Source organism: Homo sapiens, chromosome 15, assembly GCF_000001405.40.
Source record: "Homo sapiens chromosome 15, GRCh38.p14 Primary Assembly".
NCBI classification, from domain to species: Eukaryota; Metazoa; Chordata; class Mammalia; order Primates; family Hominidae; genus Homo; species Homo sapiens.
In genome coordinates, this window is record NC_000015.10 from 67598869 (window position 1) to 67622365 (window position 23497).

Below are 23497 nucleotides of genomic sequence, written 5' to 3' on the forward strand. Positions count from 1 at the left end.
AGAAATTTATGTCAAGCCATGATGAGAGTGTAGCTTGTTAGTTAATAGTACAAATCAGGTTGTTACGGACATGTTTAGATTACTTAGAGAAATGTTCTAAGGGAATTAGCCCCAGTGGCCTATTTGTGCCCACCAATGGATACTGCTATTTACGTTTCCTTCATTGATCAAAGTAAACCAAACAGCAACTCTGCTAGTTTAGCATCTCGTCACTTTATGTGCTACTTTTCTTCATGCTGCTTTAAAATTTATCATTCGGTCCAGAATAATGAGATTTTATTTTGTTTATGCCACACCTTTTATACAGCTTAAAATATTTTTTTTCTGTATTAGTAGTATAAAGGTAGTGATGAACAGAATTCCCCTCAAATAGGAAAATAGTTGCCAATTGTTCTGGCATGTCTTTCATTACTTCACTGACCCTAAATATAATAATTAGCTGATTGTAAAGGGCATCAGTCTGGTTGTACTACAATTAAATTGGGTGCTGGATTGGCCTTTACACATTAATCTGTCAATATTCTTTTAAGGATTGGTAAAATGGCTTGGAAAAGAAGCTGTTTCTGTTACCTGCATTGTACTCCTAATTATCACAGCTCTCTGAAGCTTCAACTTCAGAAATGTGTAGAAGGAAAATATTTCCCTTGGTAAATGAACCCTTGCTTTATTCAATTGGTGGAAGTTTAGAGTAGAGCAAAATATTTAAAGCTTTGCTATACTGGTCTGAGAGCAAACTATTTTTTTTCCAAGTGATATTGAATTAAAAACTCCATCCATTTTCTGCCCATGCAAGGCAGTGCAATTCCCTGGAAATTGATTTTTTTTTTTTTCAGGGCTTGCAGTGGCTTTCCCCAAGCTTTAGCTATATGGAAAAGAACACCTTTATTAAATCCACTTAGTGAATAAAGTTGGCAGTTAATTTTTAAGCATCTGGACCAGTGTGTAGAAAATTACTGAATGCATCAAATAAAGTCTGACTAGTCTTAAAGTCATTTGATAAATAATTGTATAGGGAGCTCTCTAAACTCTAAAACATTATTTTATGGGCACCTACTATTCATAATACAAATGAGAGTAGTTATTTGTGGTATAATAGGTTTTATAGAACCTTGAAAAACATGCAAACTTATATATAAAGTTACGAAAATGACTTTAATAAAAATTACATGCCTATGTATTTTTCCTTTATGTATTATAATATTCGACTATATGTGCATCTTAAGTGCATTGATTTCGTGCTTTTCCATCTTCATAATATGATTTCTGCCTAATTATTGCTGTATACTAGTTTGTTATTTGCAAAGAAAAGCTATATCTACTCTAGGAAAATCATAAACATTATTTAGTTTGTTAAATGTTAATTATGGGGGTCATCTGAGGAGTTTTCTAGGGCTGATTTATTTACAGATCATGCATTAGATTACTGAGTGTGTGTGTGTATTGTCTTCCTAAGTTTGACTTTGGTTATGTGCAGTGCTCTTTGGCATTGGTTATATGCAGTACTGGAGACTGTTTTCTTATCAGTATCTCTGACCTGACCCTTTTGAGCTATGTTGTATCATTCCATTTTGACACCTTTTATCAAACTTTAATGAAATGACCCAGGCAAACAAATTGTCATTAAACTTTCCATCACTTCGTCCCTTGGTATCGTCTTTTATAAATTGGACAGCAAACGTTGTATTGATCTTCTCGTTTTTGCAGCTGAACTTGAAATGACCCAGACTGCTTGTTGTTTATGGCCCAGAGTTGCTTTTCCTTGACATTTCCATCCACAGCATGACACCCTTTTTGTTTTTCTTTCTTTCTTGTGGAGATGAATGAACAAGACATACGATATCGGGACACTCTTGGTCATGGCAACGGAGGCACAGTCTACAAGTGAGTAGTCAATTTTGTTTAAACTTTCTATCCGCTTTTCCAAATACTGAGTATCCAAGTTCTCTGTGGCAAAGATTTTTAAATGACCACTAACACTTAGATTTTATTTCCATATTTGACTCCAAAATTCTGCAAGACATCTATTTTCTCAAGAATTGCCTGGAAAGTGCATTTATATTGCCTTTTTAATATTTCCGAGTCTGCAACTCTCCTGGGTGTGTAGTTAATAGTCCACCATTAGTAAGTGTACCTTTAACTGGCCTGAAGTTTAATGCATTTTTTTCCTTTGCTTTTTAACACTATTATTATTATTTTTTAACTTGCTAGTACCCTACGCTAGTCCCCTGCCTGTTTACAGTTATGCCCAGTGGAAGCCAGACCTTATAAATACCATTGCTTTGCCCTGTGTCAACACTATAAGTTATTAAAAAGCCTTCTTCCTGTTGTATTTTCTTCTCTCCTCACCCTACTCCCCTGAGATAATTTCTACACATTGATGAATATGTTAAGTTATAAAGTTCTCCCAAATTCCAGTTGCAGTGATCTTACCCCAAAGGAATGTTCATTTTCATCTTAAAAAATGCTAGCCATAAAAAATAGTTCTCCGACAGGGAGGTCTTCTCATGCAGTAGTGCAAAGTTTAAACTACATAATGTAATATCTGGTACTTAATAGTCTGCAATGGTGTATGAAAAATATTCCACTAGGAATTAAAAAATCCATACTCTGTAAGAAAGCCCTGAGGGAATAATAAAACTTTCCTCCAGAGAGCTGGTTTTCCATGTATACACTAATCCTGCATCACATTATGGTTGTGATATTAGATCACAACCACAGATACTTTAACATTGATATTAATATGTATTTCCAGAGTTGTAAAATAATTAACTTATTTTCTAATTGGTTACCCATGTTCTTAGAATTTTAAGTTCTGACTAACCACATGAATACACATAAAAATTGCCCTATTCTATGACCATGAAGGTTCACATCCTAAAAATCCCAGAACATCCCCTACTCATTGATGCAGCCTTGGTATAGAATTTGATTTCTCAGGCTTAGAAGCTCTTTTGAAGTAATCTGATCCAGTCACCCATTCAGGGCTTCAGTGCCCTTTGCAGATACAGCCAAGATGTGAGTCCTTTCTCCTGAATATAGTCCTTTAAGAACTTATGTTCACATGTTTGGATTGTTTTTTCCTGCAGATGACTGAGTATTGTGAACAGTTGGTCTGAAAATGAAGTTCTTCCACTATGATAATTCAGAGAAATAAATAATAACATGTTTCTTACATGTTCCTTGGGCCTTGGGCCTGGCCCTTAAAATTGAGGTCCAATGTGTCTAATGATTTTTGCGGCTACTATTCTCTTTCCCTGGATCATACTAGCGTTCCTTCCCACGCAACCTCCACTATAAACGGTATCTTTTCATCTTAGTCTTCTCTTCCTTACGATCTGACTTAGATTTTTCCTGTGTTCTGAAGGTACTTAAGTTCAGGTACCCATAGAAAGGAAAGAGGAAGAAGGAACATGTATACTCTGATTTGCTTCTATTGAGTTCCCTGGAGGGAGCACTTTTCAAAGCTTGAACCTTTCTTCTTAATGCCTTTATGCTGATAGCCAAATATAATAAAACAGGAAAGATTTCTGGCAACTCTTTGTATTCCTTTTATTTGCTTCAAATGGAATTTAAAAATGTTTATTTAGACTCCTAACCTACTTATCTGTGTTATTTCACCAAACCTTTAGTTTTATATTAATTGAAGGTCTATTGTGAATTTATTTTCCTAGCTTATTTCTAGAAGGGAAGAAGCATAAGACCATGAAACCCCAGCAGAATTTTTACGAGACATAATATTCTAGATGTTGACATTTTAATCCTTTATTTTAAAACATAGGCTTGTTTGTTTGTTGGTTGGTTTGTTTATTTTGAGATGGAGTCTCGCTCTGTTGCCCAGGCTGGAGTGCAGTGGCACGATCTCAGCTCAGTGCAACCTCTGCCTCCCAGGATTCTCCTGCCTCAGCCTCCCAAGCAGTTGGGATTACAGGCGTACGCCACCATGCCCAGCTAATTTTTGTATTTTTAGTAGAGATGGGGTTTCACTATATTGGCCAGACTGGTCTCGAGCTCCTGACCTCGTGATTCACCTGCCTTGGCCTCCCAAAGTGCTGGGATTACAGGAGTGAGCCACCAGACCTGGCCAGGTTTATTTTTTAAAAGAGGGAGTATACAGAGAAGTGGAAAAAACATGCCCATCCCCCAAGGGAAAATTACAACATGAAATTATGTTAATGTTGTTTTTAAAATTGTTATTTTAAATTGTGGTGAAATACACATAACTCAAGTTAACATTTTAACCATATTTAAGTGTATAGTTAGTGGCATTAAGTACATTCACATTGTTGGCAACTGTTAACACCATTCATCCACAGAACTCTTCGTCTTGTGTAATCGAAACTCTGCACCCATTAAACAGTAACTCCCCCATCACTCTGTTAATGTTGTTTTTAGCTAAGAAGCATGGCTAGAACTTCTCCTTTAATTAGGGCTACTATGTCAAAGGGACCATTCTTCTATATGTCCTTGCCACAAGTTTTTTAATTTGCTAGAATGCTGTGTGTAACGTTAGGAATTTATCCTAAGAGCTCATTTAGCTACCGTTGCTAATGCTCACTGTGAGTGTTGTAAGATGTAATGTTTTTGACAGGATTGCTTATAGATGGTGAATGACAGTATCCTGATAATTTTCATTCTTATATAGTAGATTTCTTATAAAAAGAAATTTCATTTACCTTATTGCCTGTGTGATTCTTGAGAGGGGCGGTGAAGATACCAAATTGCATAACCGCTTGTCATTGATCATTGGGCATCATTTTTGCTCAGGCTTCAGCTTGTATTATTGTTCTTATATCCCTGGCTTTTAGTACAGTGCAAAGAAATGATATAATCATTGATAAATGAGGATCCACTTTACTAAAGTCTCTATAAAACTAAGTGTTTGATGTGTTATGATTGAGTTTCTTCTACACTAAGTTCACCTTAATGGTGTTGATGATAAAAAATATGGTTTTTCAAACAGCATGATTACATTATAGGCTATGCTACATAAACTAGATGAAGAAAATATTGGAAAATCCACTCATTGGTAACAAAACTGCCTAATAGGCTTATTCCATTTTTTTCTTTAAAGTGTAATAAAGCTAATAAGTGCAAAGCAAAAGTTTAATAATGCAGTCTTATTCACTTCACTTGATGGAATTTTGGGAATTTCAAGGGATATTATAATCGTGTAATTACAATGTATATGATTTAACAGTTGATACATTTTCCTCCTTTAAGTGTAGATATCCTTCACAGTTGTACAATATGAAATTCTGGCCCCAGACATTTAAACCAAATGGTAATGTGAATTCTGTGTGCTGTCTCCTGACGAGCTGTGCTCTATATTATGAGAGTGACTTAGGCAGGTAATTTTAAGTTGGTATTTCTTGGATTACTAATTTGGGCTACATGGAACATAAAGGAAATACCTTAAAGTATGGCCCAAGCCTAGGAAGAAGAAAAGTTTAGGAAAAGATAATGAATGTATTTTCCTTGTTGCCTCATTTCCTAAAGTGCTGCAAGTTGCTCCAAAAAAATAAATTCAGGAAAGACACATGTTCTATTTCCCTCTGAGAGATTCATAATGAATTTCAAAAACTTTGAGAAAGTAGAGAATAGTATGTGTTGTGGTTAAGTGTGAGGGCTCTAAGTTTGAATCCTGCCTCTGTCACTAATTAGCTACGTAACCTTTGGCAAGTTATATAATGTCTTATGCCTCAGTTTTCCCATCTGCAAGATGGGGATAATAATAGTATCTAGGTTGGGCGGGGTGCGGTGGCTCACGTCTGTAATCCCAGCACTTTGGGAGGCCGAGGCAGGTGGATCACGAGGTCAAGAGATTGAGACCATCCTGGCCAACATAGTGAAACCCCGACTCTACTAAAAATATAAAAATTAGCTGGGCATGGTGGTGGGCGCCTGTAGTCCCAGCTACTCGGGAGGCTGGGGCAGGAGAATAGCTTGAACCCGGGAGGTGGAGGTTGCAGTGAGCCGAGATTGTGGCACTGTACTCTAGCCTGGCAACAGAACAAGAAAAAAAAATTAATAGTATCTAGGTTGTTGTGAGGTTAAATGAGAAGATCCGTAAAAGGCTTAGCGCTATGACTGACACTTATTAAATGTTAACTACTGGTAATGGTAGTACTAATAATAGAAAAATTATTTACATTTTGTACTTCCTACCTTGACTTGGCCATGGGACTCTTTTCTTTTTTTTTTTTGAGACAGAGTCTCGCTCTGTCGCCAGGCTGGAGTGCAGTGGAAAGATCTCGTCTCACTGCAACCTCTGCCTCCCGGGTTCAAGTGATTCTCCTGCCTCAGCCTCCCTAGAGTAGCTGGGATTACAGGCATGTACCACCATGCCCAGCTAATTTTCTGTATTTTAGTAGGGATGGGGTTTCACCATGTTGGCCAGGATGGTCTGGATCTCCTGACGTCATGATCCACCTGCCTTGGCCTCCCAAAGTGCTGGGATTATAGGCGTGAATCACCACCCCCAGCCAGCCATGGGACTCTTTTTGATAAACATCTCACAGAATTATAGTTGTGTTGAACTAACTTTGAGAAATTCTGCCTTTATATTATACACATTATACTTCTGTATTTTCTTCTATTCTGTAGTTGCTTAATGAATCATGATATCTTATGTATTATCTTAAATACAATGATTTTTTAAAGTTTCAAAGTATTTTTAATCCTAATTTATTTTCAGATTGCTATAGGACAGCTGGGTTAAGCCCATTTTACCACTGAAAAAACTGGGGCTTATCATGTGGCCATTCAGCAGCAAAGCCAGATTTCTATACAGCATTTCTTTTCTTTTTGCTTGGTGTTCTTCCCCCAGGCAGTGTTGTCTCAAGGTCAAGCAGAGTCCATTTTGTTTTCTTGTGTTTTCTCATGTACCCAGCACAGTTTTAAGGATAAAATAGACCCTTGGTACGTCTTGGCTAAAATGAGAATGAGGCAAGTGGAGGTTTTAGTGGGGCTCTTTCATTGGATCTTCCTCATATCTAGCTACTTTGCGAGGCTGTACAATTGTTGTAGAACATTCACCTAGAAGAAAAAGAATATCCACACTGAGGAGATTGATATTCGAATGATTAACTTTCTTTAAAATGTTAAAACCTTCAGTGCTTAGTATCTGTTGACTCACTAGTTACTGTCTCTTTTTCTTGGGTAGTATGTCATATGGAAATAAAAGTAATTAACAGGCATAGTTACTTTGGAAACATTGTTTGATTCCAAAGCCAGTCTCTCAGACTCTGCTTCCTTGGCATATCATTTGATGGAGTCACTCAAACTTTGGATCTAGAAATGAAGTAATATTTAACTTTTAGGATTAAATCATAGTAAGTCAGTTAGCCAGCAATCACTGAAAGATTATCTTTTATATTATTTTTTCCTTAATGCCAGTTATTCAAGCCAAGACTCATATTTTCAGCTTTGGGGCCAGATAATCTAGTCTCAAGATGTTTGAAAACTGAATTTTCTATCTCCAGCTCCTTCCCACAGGATAGAGTAAGAGTCTGATCTGGACTTGAGGTAGAATTTTCTCAGTGATACAATGGGTAGTATATATACTGCCTTCATGGTGTTTTGAAGGTTGAATGTATACCATTACTTAGGAATTAATTTGAACCTATCTAGAGACAATAAGAGGAGGGAAGGAATTGTCATTCTCAAAGATGCTGGTCTCTCCTCCTTTCTGTTGCCTTATCTAAAAAGAGGTATTTGCTGGGCAGTGGGCTGGGGATGGTCCTTGGAGGTGGTAACTGAGATCCTGTGGCCTATTAGGTTGTGTTTTGCACTTGTGATTTGACTGTAGAGGCCAACTAAAACATTAAATTACTGTTTGGGAGCTGGAATCATATTAGCTCATTATAGTAATATGATTTATTTAATGAAAATTAGAAGGACTGATGGTCATTTGTATAAAATGAGAAAATACATAAATTGTCTAGTTAAATGCTATTTAGTAAACAGAATATTTCAAAACATGGAATTCCTTAGGGGAAACAGAATGAAAAGAGTCCTTGGTGGTGAAAATATTGGGAACCACATAGTACCCAGAAAACCTTGACTTCCTCTTTCACCAACCAACCTGAAGGTGTGAAACTTAAAGAGGGAGCAAGAGGTCTGGACCCAGCTTCGCTTGTGGCTGTGTTAGTGGCCCTACTCCTTTATATATTTTTGCATGATGTGTATCTTGTAAATTAAGAGTAGTTTTTAAATGGTTTTAAAATTGACCTGAGAGCTAGAATGATGGTTTGATTTATTTTGACTTTAAATTTCTAATCACTTAAGGAGTCTTTTCCTTGCAGCCAAGATCATATTTTAAAGAAGCAAACAAGACATCATCCTAATGCAAAATTAAATATTTGTATATGACTGGATTGCATTATAGTATCGTGACAAGCAAGGATATTAATGTTTTCAGAAAATCAATGAATATTTGTCAAATAAAATTAATTATGTATGTTTCCTTCTCTCCTTCTCTCAGCATTCATTGTTACAGGTTTGTTTCATACGATAATGTATATTTTATTGATTCGAATCTAAGGAATGAACCTGAGCTCATGGTTCTCTGTACCTTTCCCACCTTTGCTTTTCCCCACCTCTCCATGTTCCTGTAACTTCATACATGCTCATATCCATTATGGCAATGATGTATTATTGGCATCCAGCCAACATGACAGGATGTCACAGGTCGCTGAGCAGAGATTTTCAGACTCAGTTTCCACCCGAATTAACTATTATTGAAATAGTTTATTGAGATTGAAGTATTGATCATTTTCTGCTAACCTTGGCTTAAGGGAAGGAAGAAGAGGCAGTAGTGTTTTTGAAAGACACTAAATTTCATTTTTAAAAATCTCATTTATTTAGCCTTTTTTTCTTTCTGTTTTATAGCCTTTATTGTTTTATTGCTTGGAAAAGGGTATCTTGGTTTTATTTTTTATGATAGTATAATTATACTTCAGAAATGCACTTGATTACTATGGGTAACAAAATTGTTCTAGTATATTGGTTTGGCCAATATTGCTATACAAACAACTTTTCAGTCAATTGAGTCTGGTAAAAATCAATACGTTATGGTAATATTTCAAGTAAGAATTTGCTGAATCTAAGTGTTTCAACTTCATCTCCTCTCAGAGAAAAAAATAGTTTTGAAGTGGCAAGACTTCTTTCTAATATTTTAGTAACAATTTTTTATTTATAAAGACGTTTAAAGTCCCCAGCAAAAGTGGTTGTGATCAGGTAAACATTACATTAGCGCACTTCTGTGTTGTAGGGTGTAAGAGATCTAATTTCCATTTGAATCTATTCCCTGCCACACCAAGAAGGCATAACATCAGGGACTGACATAGTGTCTGTCACTTTTGGATTCTGGATTCCTGTATGTAGTTCTGGGTGCTGAGTTTACAGACATATGGACAGTTCAGAGAGCACCCAGAGGAGCAATGGAGAGAATAATGAGGGATTGGGGAATTGTGTCTGTTCAGTCCTCCTTCATTCATCTGTCCAGCAGCCAAGTTCTGAGCATGTGCTGTGTGGAGGGCGTGTCAGATGTTGGGGACAGCCTAGCCTCATAAAACTTGTGTCTGGATAGATGAGGAAGTTCTGTTCTCAGGTATGCACAGGACCCCACAGTCTGGGGCCACCTGTCTGTGTGTATGGTGCACAGATCTGGGGGGCTGAGGAAGAACTGATGGCTTTTAGCTTTTTCCTCAGGAAGGATCAGGAAAGGCCTCATGGAGGAACTGGCATTTGAGCTGAGAAGTGTTTGAAAGGAATTGGCTAACTTTTCTCTGAGAAAGAGAAGATTAAAGGGCTCCATGACAGCTGACTTAAAGTCTGAAGGGCATTTCTGTAGATGAGGAGCAGGTTTGCTTTGTGTTCTTCTGAATACTAGACACAAAGGGCCTGTCTTGAATGTCTCTGTGACAGTCGGCCTTTGGTTAGAGTGATTAATGTACTCTTTCTACTCTTGTTCCCACTGGGTTGTGTTCCCTGGAGGAGAGTCATGTCTAGGTTACCTTGGTGGGAGTCCTCACAGGGCCAGCACGGTGCCTTACCTACTGTAGGCACTTAGTGAGTGTTTCAGGAATTTACCTGCAGAGGCAGATTCTTCACAGCCTAAGGATGGACACAATGTGTTGTTCATTGCTGGGTGACTCTGGGAAGTGGTGAACTCCTCTACCTTAAGCAGAATGATGTGGCTGTTGTTCAGAACTGCTGAGAAAAGAATTCCCACTTTGACCTGGACATGAGATGACTGCACAGGTGTCTCCCAAGCCTAAAGTCCCAGAACTAAATTCAGCATTCAGTTACCATAAAAACCTTATGTCAGGTGTTGCTTGGTTTTGTTTAGTCTATATTCATTTTTCACTGAACATCCTGTCACTGTGCCAAGGACTATTCCAAGCATGTACAGTCCAGTTGTGAACAAGATAGGCAAGGTCCCTATCCAGAACTCACACTAGTGGGGCAAACAATAATCAAGACAATAAACACTGAAGTAAGATTATAGAATCTATAGGTCTATAGATTCTATAGACCTATTCTATAGACCTATTCTATAGGTCTATAGATTCTGTAGACCTATTCTATAGGTCTATAGATTCTGTAGACCTATTCTATAGGTCTATAGATTCTGTAGACCTATTCTATAGGTCTGTAGATTCTGTAGACCTATTCTATAGGTCTGTAGATTCTGTAGACCTATTCTATAGGTCTGTAGATTCTGTAGACCTATTCTATAGGTCTGTAGATTCTGTAGACCTATTCTATAGGTCTGTAGATTCTGTAGACCTATTCTATAGGTCTGTAGATTCTGTAGACCTATTCTATAGGTCTATAGAATAGACTTTGCATATTCTATAAAAAATGTAGAAGAGGTGCTCAGGAAGACCTATCTGAGGAGGTGCTGTTTGAGCTGAGACCTAAAGACAGGATGGAATCAGTATGGGAAAATCTGGGAGAAGAACCTTATAGGCAGAAGTAACCACTCAGGCGGAAGCCCTAAGATTAAGATAGGCATGAACTTGTGTAATTGGAGTAGAATAAGCTCTGGGGAAGGTGTAGAGATGGACAGGGCTTGATCATGCTGGGTCTTTTAGTCCTTAGTAAATCCTTGCTAAGAAGGTATGTTACCCTCTTTTTACTTATGAGAAAGATAACGTTTGGAAGGGCTAAGTGGCATGCCCAAGATCAAGTCAAGAATAAAACTTAGGTCTTCTGACACCTGCTTCCCAAGCCAAGGTTTTTCTGTTTGCCATTCACTCTCTGAATTTCCTAACTATTAACCCAAGTTATTTTTGGATGTAAGATATAAAATTAGTGTATAAATTTGAAAGTCAATGATGTATCATCTCTAGGTGTTAATTTTAGAGGCTTTTTAGTAGATGTTAAAACGTCCACTTCTTGGCTGACAGTTATGACAACATAACTTGTTATTTGGTCTACCCTTTGGGTGTCCTTATTTACCAAAAACTTATAATTTAATAATTGAATCCCTGGATTAAATGTATGGTTGTGCTAGCAGGGGTGGTCTATTTCTTGATTTATAAGACACGTTTCTTTTTTATAGCTATTTTACAGTATTTGATGTGTTCGAAAATCGTAGTCTCTTGGTTGGCATATTGCACAAGCAAATATTTGTGTACCATAGCATCTAGGGTATTTACTTAAATTGCTTTTTTGGAAAATAATTCACTGGAAAGTCCAAAAGGCATTTACCGCGTATAACTTTCTGCCACAGTTTTTTTTTCTTTGCTCTGTCATTGGTTACTTTGATGTAGGGGACCATGTTTCTGTTAAATTGCTGTCTTACTAGAGTGAAATATGTTTAGGTTCTGATTTGTACACTAACGTTGAATTGGAGGAGCAGTTTGCAAAATTTGAGGGGGAATAGCAGTAGAGATTTAGGTTGTGGGTATTAAGCATTAAATTTTTTTAAAAAAACATTAATTTGCTTTTTAAATGTGACTTTATATCATGTTGTCTTCTTGACCCTAAAATTTCCTTACTTTTCCTTGTCAGTATGGCAAAAAGAAAGAGAGAGTACAGTGGTATTGCTGAAAGCAGTTAATGGTTTTTGTCTTGTGAATTTAAATAATAAAATGAAAAATGTTCACACAAAATTAGAACTTGCTTTAGGGCACAATCAATATAGCATTTTAACAAGCTTAATGTATTTGGAAGATATGTATTGTGTGAGGTTCTCAAACATACTGATTCTATTACGACGGTTAACTGTAGCAGCAAAATGTATCAATATACTTAGCCAATAAACATAAAACTTATTAAATCATAATTAAATTTTCAGAAAAGTTATCTAAAAATTATGAATAAAATATATTTTACATGGCCTCAGCAACAAAATATATAGCCAATGAAACTTTATAAGTGGTGGGGTAAAATACATGGGATAAAATTATAGAATGAATTTTTACCATAGACACATGTACCGAGTTAAGTTTGTGTACACCATTTGTTTCTCCTCTCTTTTAACTTCTTTTGGAGGTAATTCTTAGTGAGTATTTGCAGAGCACAACAGCTGGGGTAACTGACCGAAGGGGCAAATGAGAAGTTTCCCTGCTCCTTTGGAGTCTCAAGTGAAATGTTTCAAAGCCCTACCTGCCCTTATACGTGGAAGATGCCAAGAGGTACTCAGAGTCACTGTGGTTGCATTTACATTTCTACAGTGGGCGCCAATCACAAGCTTCATGTTATGGCCCCAGCTGTGTGGGAATGTAGCTGAGCACACTAGGTATCGTCATCCTCATTTGATTTATGAAGAAATGGAAACACAGATAAATGAATGGATTTCCCTGAGGATTCAGACCAAGTCAAGGATAAGATCACCACTGAAACCCAGGCTTTTTTAATTCTTAGTCCTTTCCCAATGCCATTCCTGGTAAATAATTACATTTTGGCTCTAAGAGGAGCTAGAATAAACAGAATATATGCAAACCTAAGAATTTCTGCCAGCAATCTCTAGCAGATATACTTCAGCTGTACTTTGAATTTTTATTTTGTGCACCAGGCACATGTATCTTGTAGATGACCAATATGAACAAACAGCTGTCTCCCTTCCTCCCTCCTTCCTTGGAACGTGTAATCTCTGAATAACTGATTAGCTCAATGTCAGAAATGTTTGTGCTGATCTCTGAACCTCAGTCAGTTCAACACATGACTCCCTGGAAATTTTATCTTTGGTTTTCTTTTTTTTTTTTTTTTTTCACTGCCATGATTTTGTGAGTTAGTTTATGAGTGTATTTAAATCATTTCTGGAATCTAAATATTTTGGACTTGCTGGTCTTTATAAGGAAGTTAGTTTCCCTCCTCTCACATAGACCTCTTTCTGCTTTCTCCTATCTATCATATTTTAAGAGTATATGTGACACCGTTAAGTTTTAATCTTCTAAATGGATTGGAGAATAACACCTTCCCTTGACTAACCTCAAAGGATTTTTAAAAACAGAATGTTGCCTAATTTTTGAGGGAGAATGTTCTAACACAGTTTATATATTTTTGTAACTCAACAAAGGTATCTCATAAAGAACATTGGTGGAATTGGGTTTTAAAGTCCAAATACTTTCCTTCTGTTGTCCAGAACATAGCTCCTCAACCTAGAGGCATAGTGTCATGTGCAGTGAAGTCACTCAAATTCCTTCTTATTATTGGTTTGAAGATGACTGTCCCTGGATGGTATAAGATATGATGGTAGTTTGTGTCGTTCAGTTTTTACGTTAAAGGAAAAAGTCTCTCCTGGTTTCTTTTGACCCTAGTCATGATATGCCCATTTCATGAAGTCTTTTATGCACAAAAGTGCACAAAATGAAGATAAAGTGCCTCTCTCCAGCCTGACAAAAGCCATTTCTTTGCAGAATGGTAGCTGCAGCGAAAGTAAATAAATGAATGGACAGCAATCACAGCCTAGTTGATGAAACTGTTCAATTAAAGCACAGGCATTTACATGGTGTAATTTCCCTAAATTGCCAATGAGCCCCTTTAGACACAACCAGTGTTCAAATTGATTTCAGCATTGATTTTGGCTGAAGCTGATAAATTTCTGCTTGTTAGTTAAAGTAATTTTGCAGAAGACTTTGTACTGCAGTATTGAAGTGTTCATTTAGCTGATAGTTAAAAGAGGAGTTATTTACAGAGGCCTCTACTGTTGTTCTGAGATGGGACAATTCCCCAATCATCTTTTACTTTTAATTTTTCAGGCTTCAGTATACCAATCAATAGGTGATTGAAACTGATTAAAACTTATCCAACCAGCTGCCTATGGCAGTTTAATTAGAAGCTGGATGATTCTTAAATTAAAGTTGTCTTATTTTCATTGCAAAGCCATCTTCCAGAAGAGTAAGGCAAGAACAGTGCAGAAAACTTAAAAGACTGGCTTTGCTAAGGTATCTTGCAAATGTTAAATCACTCAATAGCTATTCCTAAGACAATTCAAAAATGTATCAGAGAGTTTGCTTTTATGGAGATTAGAAGTAATAACATGCTTACTTGCCAGCCAAGGAATGTTTGTTTCATTCGGTCAGAGAGATTACCTATTGTATAATGATACATGTGAAAGACCAGCTGTTTGGGATATATCTATTATCTCATAAGCAAGATGAATGCTTGAGCTTAGTTTTAAACACTGTAATGCAGGATGAAACTAGCCATGATGATATCCTCTGCATCTGCCCCCTGGAAACCATCAGCTTTGAATTTATATTTTTATTCTGTTTTGAGGTCTTGATTAAAATAAATCTCCATTGAATGAAAAACAAATATTTTTATATAAGTTCATGTTGACTTGTCAACAGTATTGTGGGCAGGATTATAGAAGAGAGATTTTTGCTCCTCTTCAGCTCCCTAGGGAAGCTTCTCCATACTCATTTTATCTAGTGTGGACAATTTCTTGAGTTTTTAATGGAAACGGGTTAATATTTTTGTCATAGGGGACATATTACATCTGATATTACGGGGAAGAAGGGAAGAAATGGCTCACTTTTCAGAGGTGCATTTACTCTTTGACCCACTAGGGTACTATTTAGTGTTCTAGAAGAGGTAATTTAGTAAATTGTACCCCAGTGGCCTGAAAAAGTTAATGCAACTCTGAAAAGTGAGCCATTCAATCGATTTTCCCTATTGCTTTTAAAAAATCAACACTGACCATATCCAGAGAATGTTGAAGACAACTGAAATTAGAGGATCTAGAAGCAACCAGTTTATTTTCACACAAAGCTTGTTGGGACATGCACTGGATTTGGCTTCAGAGGACCCAGATCTACTTCCCACTCCAGTACTTACAGATAGGAATCGTGAAGCATTCAGTAACCTCACCAAGCCTTGGTTTCCTTGTCTATAAAGTGGTGATAATAATAATATTTACCTCACAAATTTTTGTGGAAATCAAATAGCTTTACTATATGTAAAATGTTTTATAAACTATAAAGCACAATAGAATATTAATTATTAGAATAAGGAGGTTTTCTGAAGTAGCCATTTATGTATCTGATTTTGGAAAGTAATTTATTGTTAGTTTTCCCAGAAACTGTGAGCAAAGATTAGATGGTTATCACGTTGTTTCAAGAGAGAGTTTCCTAGCTAGTCAATCCTCAGGGTATTTCTATTTTCCCCCACATATATTGCCTAACAATTCCAGTTCTTTCATTCCTTCTCATCATTAGGCTTTATATCTCTTGCTTCTCTGTTTGCCCACTACATTATTTCAGAATCCTTGATCAAGAGATCAGAATGACTGTAGTTTCCTTGATCTCAGAGGTATTTAGACCATATATTAAAAGACATTACTCTAGTTGATGTGGAGAGTGTTAAAAGCTTGAATCAGGCCACATCAACTTGTGGAAGAAATATGGAGGTAGTGATGACCACATTAACTCTGAGGCAGGTATGGGAGTAAAAAGGGGTATATAGCCGGAGTAAACAGAAAGAAGAAATGGCAAATGTAGAGTTACAGTAGCTTTCTCTTATTGAAAATCTTTCTAATCTAGCCAAGTTCCCTATATCATTCATTAGGTTGATTTATGAGCCCTATGTACAATCAGTTATCTTGAAATTAATATCTGTGACCTCATAACATATTTGACTTGAGACCTAAACAGTATGAGGGGCTCTGTTTTTTTTTCTTTCTTTCTTTCTGAGACAGAGTTTTGCTCTTGTTGCCCAGGCTGGAGTGCAATGGTGTGATCTTGGCTCACTGTAACCTCTGCCTGCCTGGTTCAAGTGATTCTCCTGCCTCAGCCTCCTGAGTACCTGGGATTACAGGCACGTGCCACCACGCCCTGCTAATTTTTGTATTTTTAGTAGAAACAGGGTTTCACCATGTTGGCCAGGCTAATCTCGAACTCCTGACCTCAGGTAATCTGCCCGCATCGGCCTCCCAAAGTGCTGGAATTATAGGTGTGAGCCACTGTGCCCGGCCTGTTTCTTAACCACAAATTATTTTGTAATCAGTAGTCAAGCATCTGTAATAGGTTTTTAGGCAGAAAGAAGGTTGGCAAAGACTGCTATTTGAACTAGTATAGTTTACATAAAAGCTTCTTTTTACAACTGCTGTTTACTTTGGATTTCCTGTTTTAACAGCTAGAGCCTGGCTAATGTGTTTATCTATTATGGAAGGCAACAACTGTCAGTGTTGATTTCCCTGAAACTATTTGAAGTATTTCTGTGGATGGCTACTTTAGTATGTGACAGAATACTAAAATTTCGAAGCTTGGCCATTAGTCCTAAACGTGTTAATAAAATCTACCTTCAAATAAACCTAAAAAGACCAAGAAATTAGAGGATTAAATTTTAATTTAAAAATTTAAATTTATTTAATTTAAAATTTAAAAATTATATTTTTCATTAGCTGAACCACAGCTGGTTTACATTTAGTTACTGAAACCATATCATTGCATTAAAAGGTGACATCTAGAGGGTTTTAAAATTAATCTCGCAAGGTACTAAAAGATTTTTGTTTGTGTCAGTATTTGTGTACTCATGAGCTTTATACAGCAGAGAAGCGTTCTGCATGTTTTGTATTGGCTTCAGAGTTGTTCAGCCTTATAATCTTTTGGGAAAATGTAATACAATCAACTCTCAGATTCCTTGTTTTAAGTAGGAGACTTATAGTCTCATGTGGGTATCTCCTAATAGTTTAACCCCCTCGATTTCTACCATCTTCTTTCTTTTTGTTTTAGTTTTCCTTTGTGCCAATGCTATAAAGTCTTTGAAATGGAAACTTCTAAGTTGAGGAAAGACTTGTATCTTGTTATTCTAAATTTACATAAAAGCAGGGGCTTTTTTGGTTAATAAATAAAATGTCACACAGAGCAAAGAAGCATCATCTGTAAGAATAGAAGCATCATCTGTAAGTATAGAAACTGATGATCCTACAGTATATTAGCTTTAACCAATGCCATGTTTTAATAAGGAAGTAGATTTAATAATTGAACCTGAGTGAGACCAACTCTTAACTTTCTGTGCCAATGAGGAGAATTAAGAATTGCGTTTTAGACAATGATTTATTTGTCTTGTCTCGATCAAACTTTTTCATAATGAATCAGATCTCAGAGAGCTTTCTTTTCCTTTGTCTTTTTACCTCTGCCATGTCTCTGATGGACGTCCTATAAATCCCTAGGGCATTCAGAGAATAGAGAATCAGGGAATACAGGATATCTCACAAGCTGTGAAATCTTTGCATGGAAAACAAAGAACTGATGTTATTATTTGAGAGAGTGAACTATCTCTGCAATGAGCTAATAACAAATACATTTGTAACTTTTATTTATTTTAAAATAGCCTTTGTTCACCGTTTTTCTTGTCTTCTACCTGTTCTCTGAGAGACATAGGGAGCAAAATAACCATCACTTTCTTTCTTGCTTACCTAGAATAAGACCATCTCTTTTTAATTACTGGTTATTTCTTGAGCCAAATCCTAACCATTGCTTTCACTATTTTAGTGACTGGATTATTTTCTTAGGTTTCCTATCCATTTGGAGAACCTTTCAACAATTGATAACACTCTATAAATAATTCACAGAGTAATTGTGTCCCTCTTTTCACTAACCTTCTTTGAAGTACGTTATGTGAGAAGTAGAATTTAAGTCAGTAGCATTTAGTTCATGTGGTTAATGAAGGAAGTGCCCTGTGTCCTTCATAGAACAGTGGCAATACTATCATTTCAGTGTCCCTGTGTTGCCATTATGAATAAAAGTCATTATACATGCAATTACGCTCCAGGTCTTTTCTCCAAGAGGCAAAAAAGGGGTATTTCCGTGCTCATTTTGATAACTATTTTGCTAATAAATTGACATTTATGACATAGGATATTGTCAGTTATGCTGAAATCTGAAATATTTATAGTAAGATTATAGGCCAGCCTCCCCCATTCTTTCTTTAATTATATCCTACCTCACAATCACTAGGAAAGCACATATGCTCCCTATTATAAATTCTTTCTGCTCATAATTTAAAATAATTTGATTGGAATATGTTTAGAACTTAATATGCAGAATAGTACCATAGAAAATAGATGCCTACTTTAATTGTATGAGATTGTACCAGCTTTATCAGAAAATGTATGATCAGCTCTAGGTTATTTATTTTGTGAACAAGAGTCAGCTGGGATGATTCATATTTTTTGGTTCTCCTAGAATTTGAAATTCTAGGCATAAATAATTTTAGTAAACATGGTAAAATCCAGATGCAGTTGATCTTATGCATGGCATAAATTTGTGTGGGAGTCCAGATGTTGGAATGTGAACACAGGTTGTTTCTCCCTTCTGTCTTGTGTGGACTTTTTAACATGTTATTTTCACATATTTATTTTCCTTACTTTTATTTATTTTTTGATACAGGGCCTCACTCTGTCACCTAGGCTGGAGTGCAGTGATACGATCATGGCTTACTGTAGCATCAACCTCCCAGGCTCAAGTGATCCTCTCACCTCACGTCCCAAGTAGCTGGGACCACAGGCATGTGCCACCATGCCCAGCTAATTTTTTTAAATTTTTTGTTGAGATGAGGTATCATCTATGTTGCCCAGGCTGGTCTTGAACTCTTGGACTCAAGCAATCCTCCCACCTCAGCCTCCCAAAGTGTTGGGATTACAGGTGTGAGCCACTGTGCCCTGCCTATTTTCCTTACCTTTAAAGATTATTCTAGAAATTCAGTTTATTCTTTGTAATGATGTATCTTTTAATAAATTCGCATTAACAGTTTAGATGAAGGTGAGCACACCTCTAACCTTTTATGTATTGTACTAGACTCATCTTTAACATTTCAAGGAGTAAATAATATAATCAGTTGGATTTATCCCTAAGTATTGCTTTTGAAATCAGTCACATGTTTTCTGAACACTTTGTGCAAAGTACTTCGCTTGGCAGTGGGGGAGATATAACATCAACTTTCATGGCCTCAGGGACCCCATTCTTTGGGGTCTGTTGTTAGCTTACTGTTTGTACCTTCTCGTCTCCTTTACTGTTTTCTTCTCATCTTTCTGACCTCTGAATTTAGAGAGCCTCAGTTCCAGTCCTTACACCTCTTCTCTGTTTAATTCACTTCCTAAGTGAGCGTGTGTAGTTCCATGGCTTTACATATCATCTGTATGCTGAGGAAGTCCAGATGTATGTCTGTAGCCCTGGCCTGTGTCCTGAACTTCAGACTCATATCTGATTACCAGTTGGATGTCCTCTAGGCATTTCAAAATTATCTAAAACCGAGCTCTTTATTTCTTTGGAAACCTGCTTCATTTACAGCTTCTCCCATCTCCGTAATTGGAAACTCTATTCTATAGGATGCTAAGGACAAAAACTTTGCAGTCTTTCTTCCTCCTTCTTTTTCTCTCAGATTATGTATACCTTTACCCACAAATCTTGTGGGTTCTTCCTCAAAAATATTTCAAGAAGCTGACCACCTTTCATCACTGTTTTCTTGCTACCCTATTCAAAACCACTATTACTGCTTGCTAGGATTTTACTGCAAAAGCCTCCCAACTAGCCTCCCAGTTTCTATCCTTGCTTTCCTGTAATGTGTTCTCTTCACTCAGCAGCCAAAGTGATCTTTCTGAAATATTAGGTCTCCCCCTCTGCTCATGACCTCTTATATCACTTGGAATAAAAGTCAGAGTCCTCACCATGGCCTAAATGGTGCTACACAGTCTGTTTTCCTTACCTCTCTGACCTCATCTCCCCCAGCTAGCCCTCTTGCTTATTCTACTTCTGCATACATGTCAAGCACACATTTCCACCTTGGGCTTTTGAACTTGCTGTTTCCTCTACCTGGAATCCCCTTCCCCTAGATGTCCGAATGGTGTGCCCCCATACTGCTCACATGTAACCTGAAAAGAGAGGCATTTCCTGACTTCCTCCCCAACCCTAATATCAAATAGCATGTCCCTAATGTTGATCAGTCTCTATATCCTTACCTTTATTTTTTTCAATGCACTTACCCCCACCTCACATATTGTATATTTATTTGATTATTGTCAGTCAGCCCCTATTAGAAGGTAAACTTCACAAGGGCAGGGACTTGGTCTCATTTGTTCTCTGCTGTATCCACACTGCCTAGCTTATTGCCTGGCAATCAGAGACATGCATTAAGTATTAAATATAAAAAGAGGATCTAGGAGGAGAATATATCATATACTGTGGAAGAGGTCAAGCATATAGTAATGAACAAAATGGACCCTGACCTTCCCCTTGAAACTTACAATAAAGTAGAACATAACATAGACCCTATATTAAGAATTTACAGCATAGTTAGGTAATTAGAGTCTACAATATAGTTAAATAAAGTGAACACCATTTCTGTAATCCCAGCACTTTGGGAGGCCAAGGCAGGAGGATCACTTGAGGCCAGGAGTTCAAGACCAGCCTGGGCAACATAGTGAGAACCTTGTTCTACAAAAAATAAAAATAAAAATTAGCCAGCCATGGCGGTACTCTCCTGTAGTCTCAACTACTCAGGAGGCTGAGGCAGGAGGATCATTTGAGGCCAGGAGTTCAAGACCAGCCTGGGCAACATAGTGAGACCTCCGTTCTGCAAAAAATAAAAGTAAAATTTAGCTAGGCATGGTGGTTCGCTCCTGTAGACTCAACTACTCAGGAAGCTGAAGCAGGAGGATCACTTGAGCCCAAGAGTTCAAGTCTGCATCGAGCTATGATTGTCACACTGTACTCCAGCCTGAGTGATAGAGTAAGACCCTGTTGCTTAAAAAAAATATACTAGTAGGCCATGTGCAGCGGCTAACGCCTGTAATCCCGCACTTTGGGAGGTTGAGGCGGGTAGATCACCTGAGGTCAGGAGTTCGAGACCAGCTTGACCAACATGGTCAAATGCCATCTCTACTAAAAATACAAAAATTAGCCAGGTGTGATGGTGGGCACCTGTAGACCCAGCTATTCGGGAGGCTGAGGCAGGAGAATCGCTTGAACCTGGGAGGCAGAGGTTTCATTGAGCCGAGACTGCACCACTGCACTCTAGCCTGGGTGACAGAGCGAGACTCTGTCTCAGAACAGAAACAAAAACAAAAAACCACTACTGATAAAGTATATACCTGTGAATTTAAATAACTGTTGAAGAGAAATAGTAATTTATAACACGAACATATAAGGCAATAGAGTAGTTGATGCCAATAGATAAATGAAACCACAGGGTAGGAAATCTAGTAGGTAGGGAAGTAAGTAGAAATAAAAGAATGGAATCCAATTGAATTCAGGAAGGAATAACATGAAAGAAGAAATGGTGACCATTTAAGTAAATCTGACTGTATAAGACAACGATAGTAATAATTCAAAATGAAGTTAAAAAGACTGGAGAAAATAATATGTTAAGATGAGAAGGGCTTGATTGAAGTTAAAACATTCTAAGATTTTTATATTGTTTAGGAGAAGGATATAGATAACAATTAACTTTATGTTTTGTTAAGTCAGGTATGATTGTTAAAAATTATACGGGTAACTAAAACAGTGAATAGAATGTGTAACTTCAAAACAAATAGATGGAATAAAGGGAGAATAATTCAGTATAATAGAGGAAGAGAAGTCGATAGGTGTAAAGTAAATGAATTAGGTGGTAGAAATAAATCCAAATATATCAATAATTACAAAAAATATAAGTAGAGTAATATTAGCAGCTAATAGGTTAGGTTGCATTTTTTAAAATACAGTTATGTGCTATTTTAGACTGTATTGGGAGAAAATTTAAAATACCAAGACACAGCAAAATTGAAAGGAAAAGGGTAGGGGAAGATACCTGGCAAAAACTAATCAAAAGAATGCTGCTACTGTGGTTATATTAACATAAGACAAAATAGACTTTAAGGCAAAAAGTATTACTAGAGAAATGTTATGAAAATACAAATATTTACAACTGAACCACAAATACCATGTATTAATATGAAAACTCCTGAGATGCACCAAAGTAATTCTTAAAGGATAGGTTTATATACACACCTTAGTAAAGAATAACTGGGTATGATATGCTTAGAATCTAACTCAAGAAAATCAAGAAGGTGGGACAGGGAATAAACCCAAAGAAAGTGGAAGGAAAGAAATACTAATGAACAAAAGTTTGAAAAAAAAAAAAAAAGAACAAAAGTTAATTAAGTGAAAATTCAAGAAACAATTCAACAAAACCAAAAGCTGGTTCTTTGGAAAAACTTAATAAAATATAGCAGTGAGAAGCAGAAATAACAAAATTAGGAATAAAAAGGGAACATAATTCTATACATAACAGTGATTTTAAAAATAATAGGATCCAGTGAATAACTTTATGACAATAAATTTGAAAACACAAAATGGCCAGTTTCTTAGAAAAACTTAATGAAATTGTCTTAAAAATAAAAACCAAAATAGACCTAGAGCAATCAAATGATTATTTGTAAAATGTGCCTGATGTAGTTTTAGGCACTGGAAATAATAGCAGTGAACAAAAAAAACGAAAGTGTGTGTTTTCATGGAGCTTCCTTTGTTGTGGAGGGAGACATAATAAATTAATAAATTTTATCAGGTGTTGCTAACTCTGTGAAGAATAAAGAAAGTGGCCGGGTGCGGTGGCTTACGCCTGTAATCCCAGCATTTTGGGAGGCCAAGGTGGGTGGATCACCTGAGATCAGGAGTTCGAGATCAGCCTGGACAACATGGTGAAACACCGCCTCTACTAAAAATACAAAAATTAGCCGGGCATGGTGGCACACACCTGTAATCCCTGCTACCCAGAGGTGGCAGTGAGCCGAGATCACGCCACTGCACTCCAGCCTGGGCAACAGAGTGAGGCTCCATCTCAAAAAAAAAAAAAAAAAAAAGAAGATGAAGGGAGAATGTGCTGAAGGGAGAATGTGCTGTTTTATGTAGGAAAGTCAAAGAAACAATATAGGACCTGAAGGAAGCAATGGAGCAAACCAGGTATATATTGGAGAAAGTGGCCCAGCCCTCAGGAGTAGGTGCAAAGGCCCCGAGGCAGGAGCACGTTTGATGGAACAGAGTTGAGTATTGTGCATAAGGGA

General features: G+C 37.0%; 1 protein-coding gene and 1 long non-coding RNA gene across 10 annotated transcripts in view; both read left to right on the top strand.

Moving 5' to 3' along the window:
• The window catches only part of MAP2K5 (mitogen-activated protein kinase kinase 5), a 264412-nt gene that overhangs the window by 56166 nt on the left and 184749 nt on the right, over positions 1-23497 (top strand). For all 8 annotated transcript variants that reach the window (XR_007064474.1, NM_145160.3, NM_002757.4 and 5 more), the window contains exon 8: positions 1817-1881. Coding sequence is in view for 7 of the 8 variants with exons in the window: in NM_145160.3 (NP_660143.1) it covers positions 1817-1881 (65 nt within the window). In the remaining variant the exon portion in view is untranslated. The remainder of the gene's footprint in view (positions 1-1816; positions 1882-23497) is intronic.
• On the top strand, positions 10166-22561 carry LOC124903512 (uncharacterized). Of its 2 annotated transcripts, none has more exons than XR_007064687.1 (2): positions 10166-10772; positions 10803-22561. It is a non-coding gene; the product is annotated as an uncharacterized LOC124903512 (long non-coding RNA). The 2 variants fall into 2 exon arrangements; XR_007064688.1 differs by having other exon boundaries at positions 10166-10652.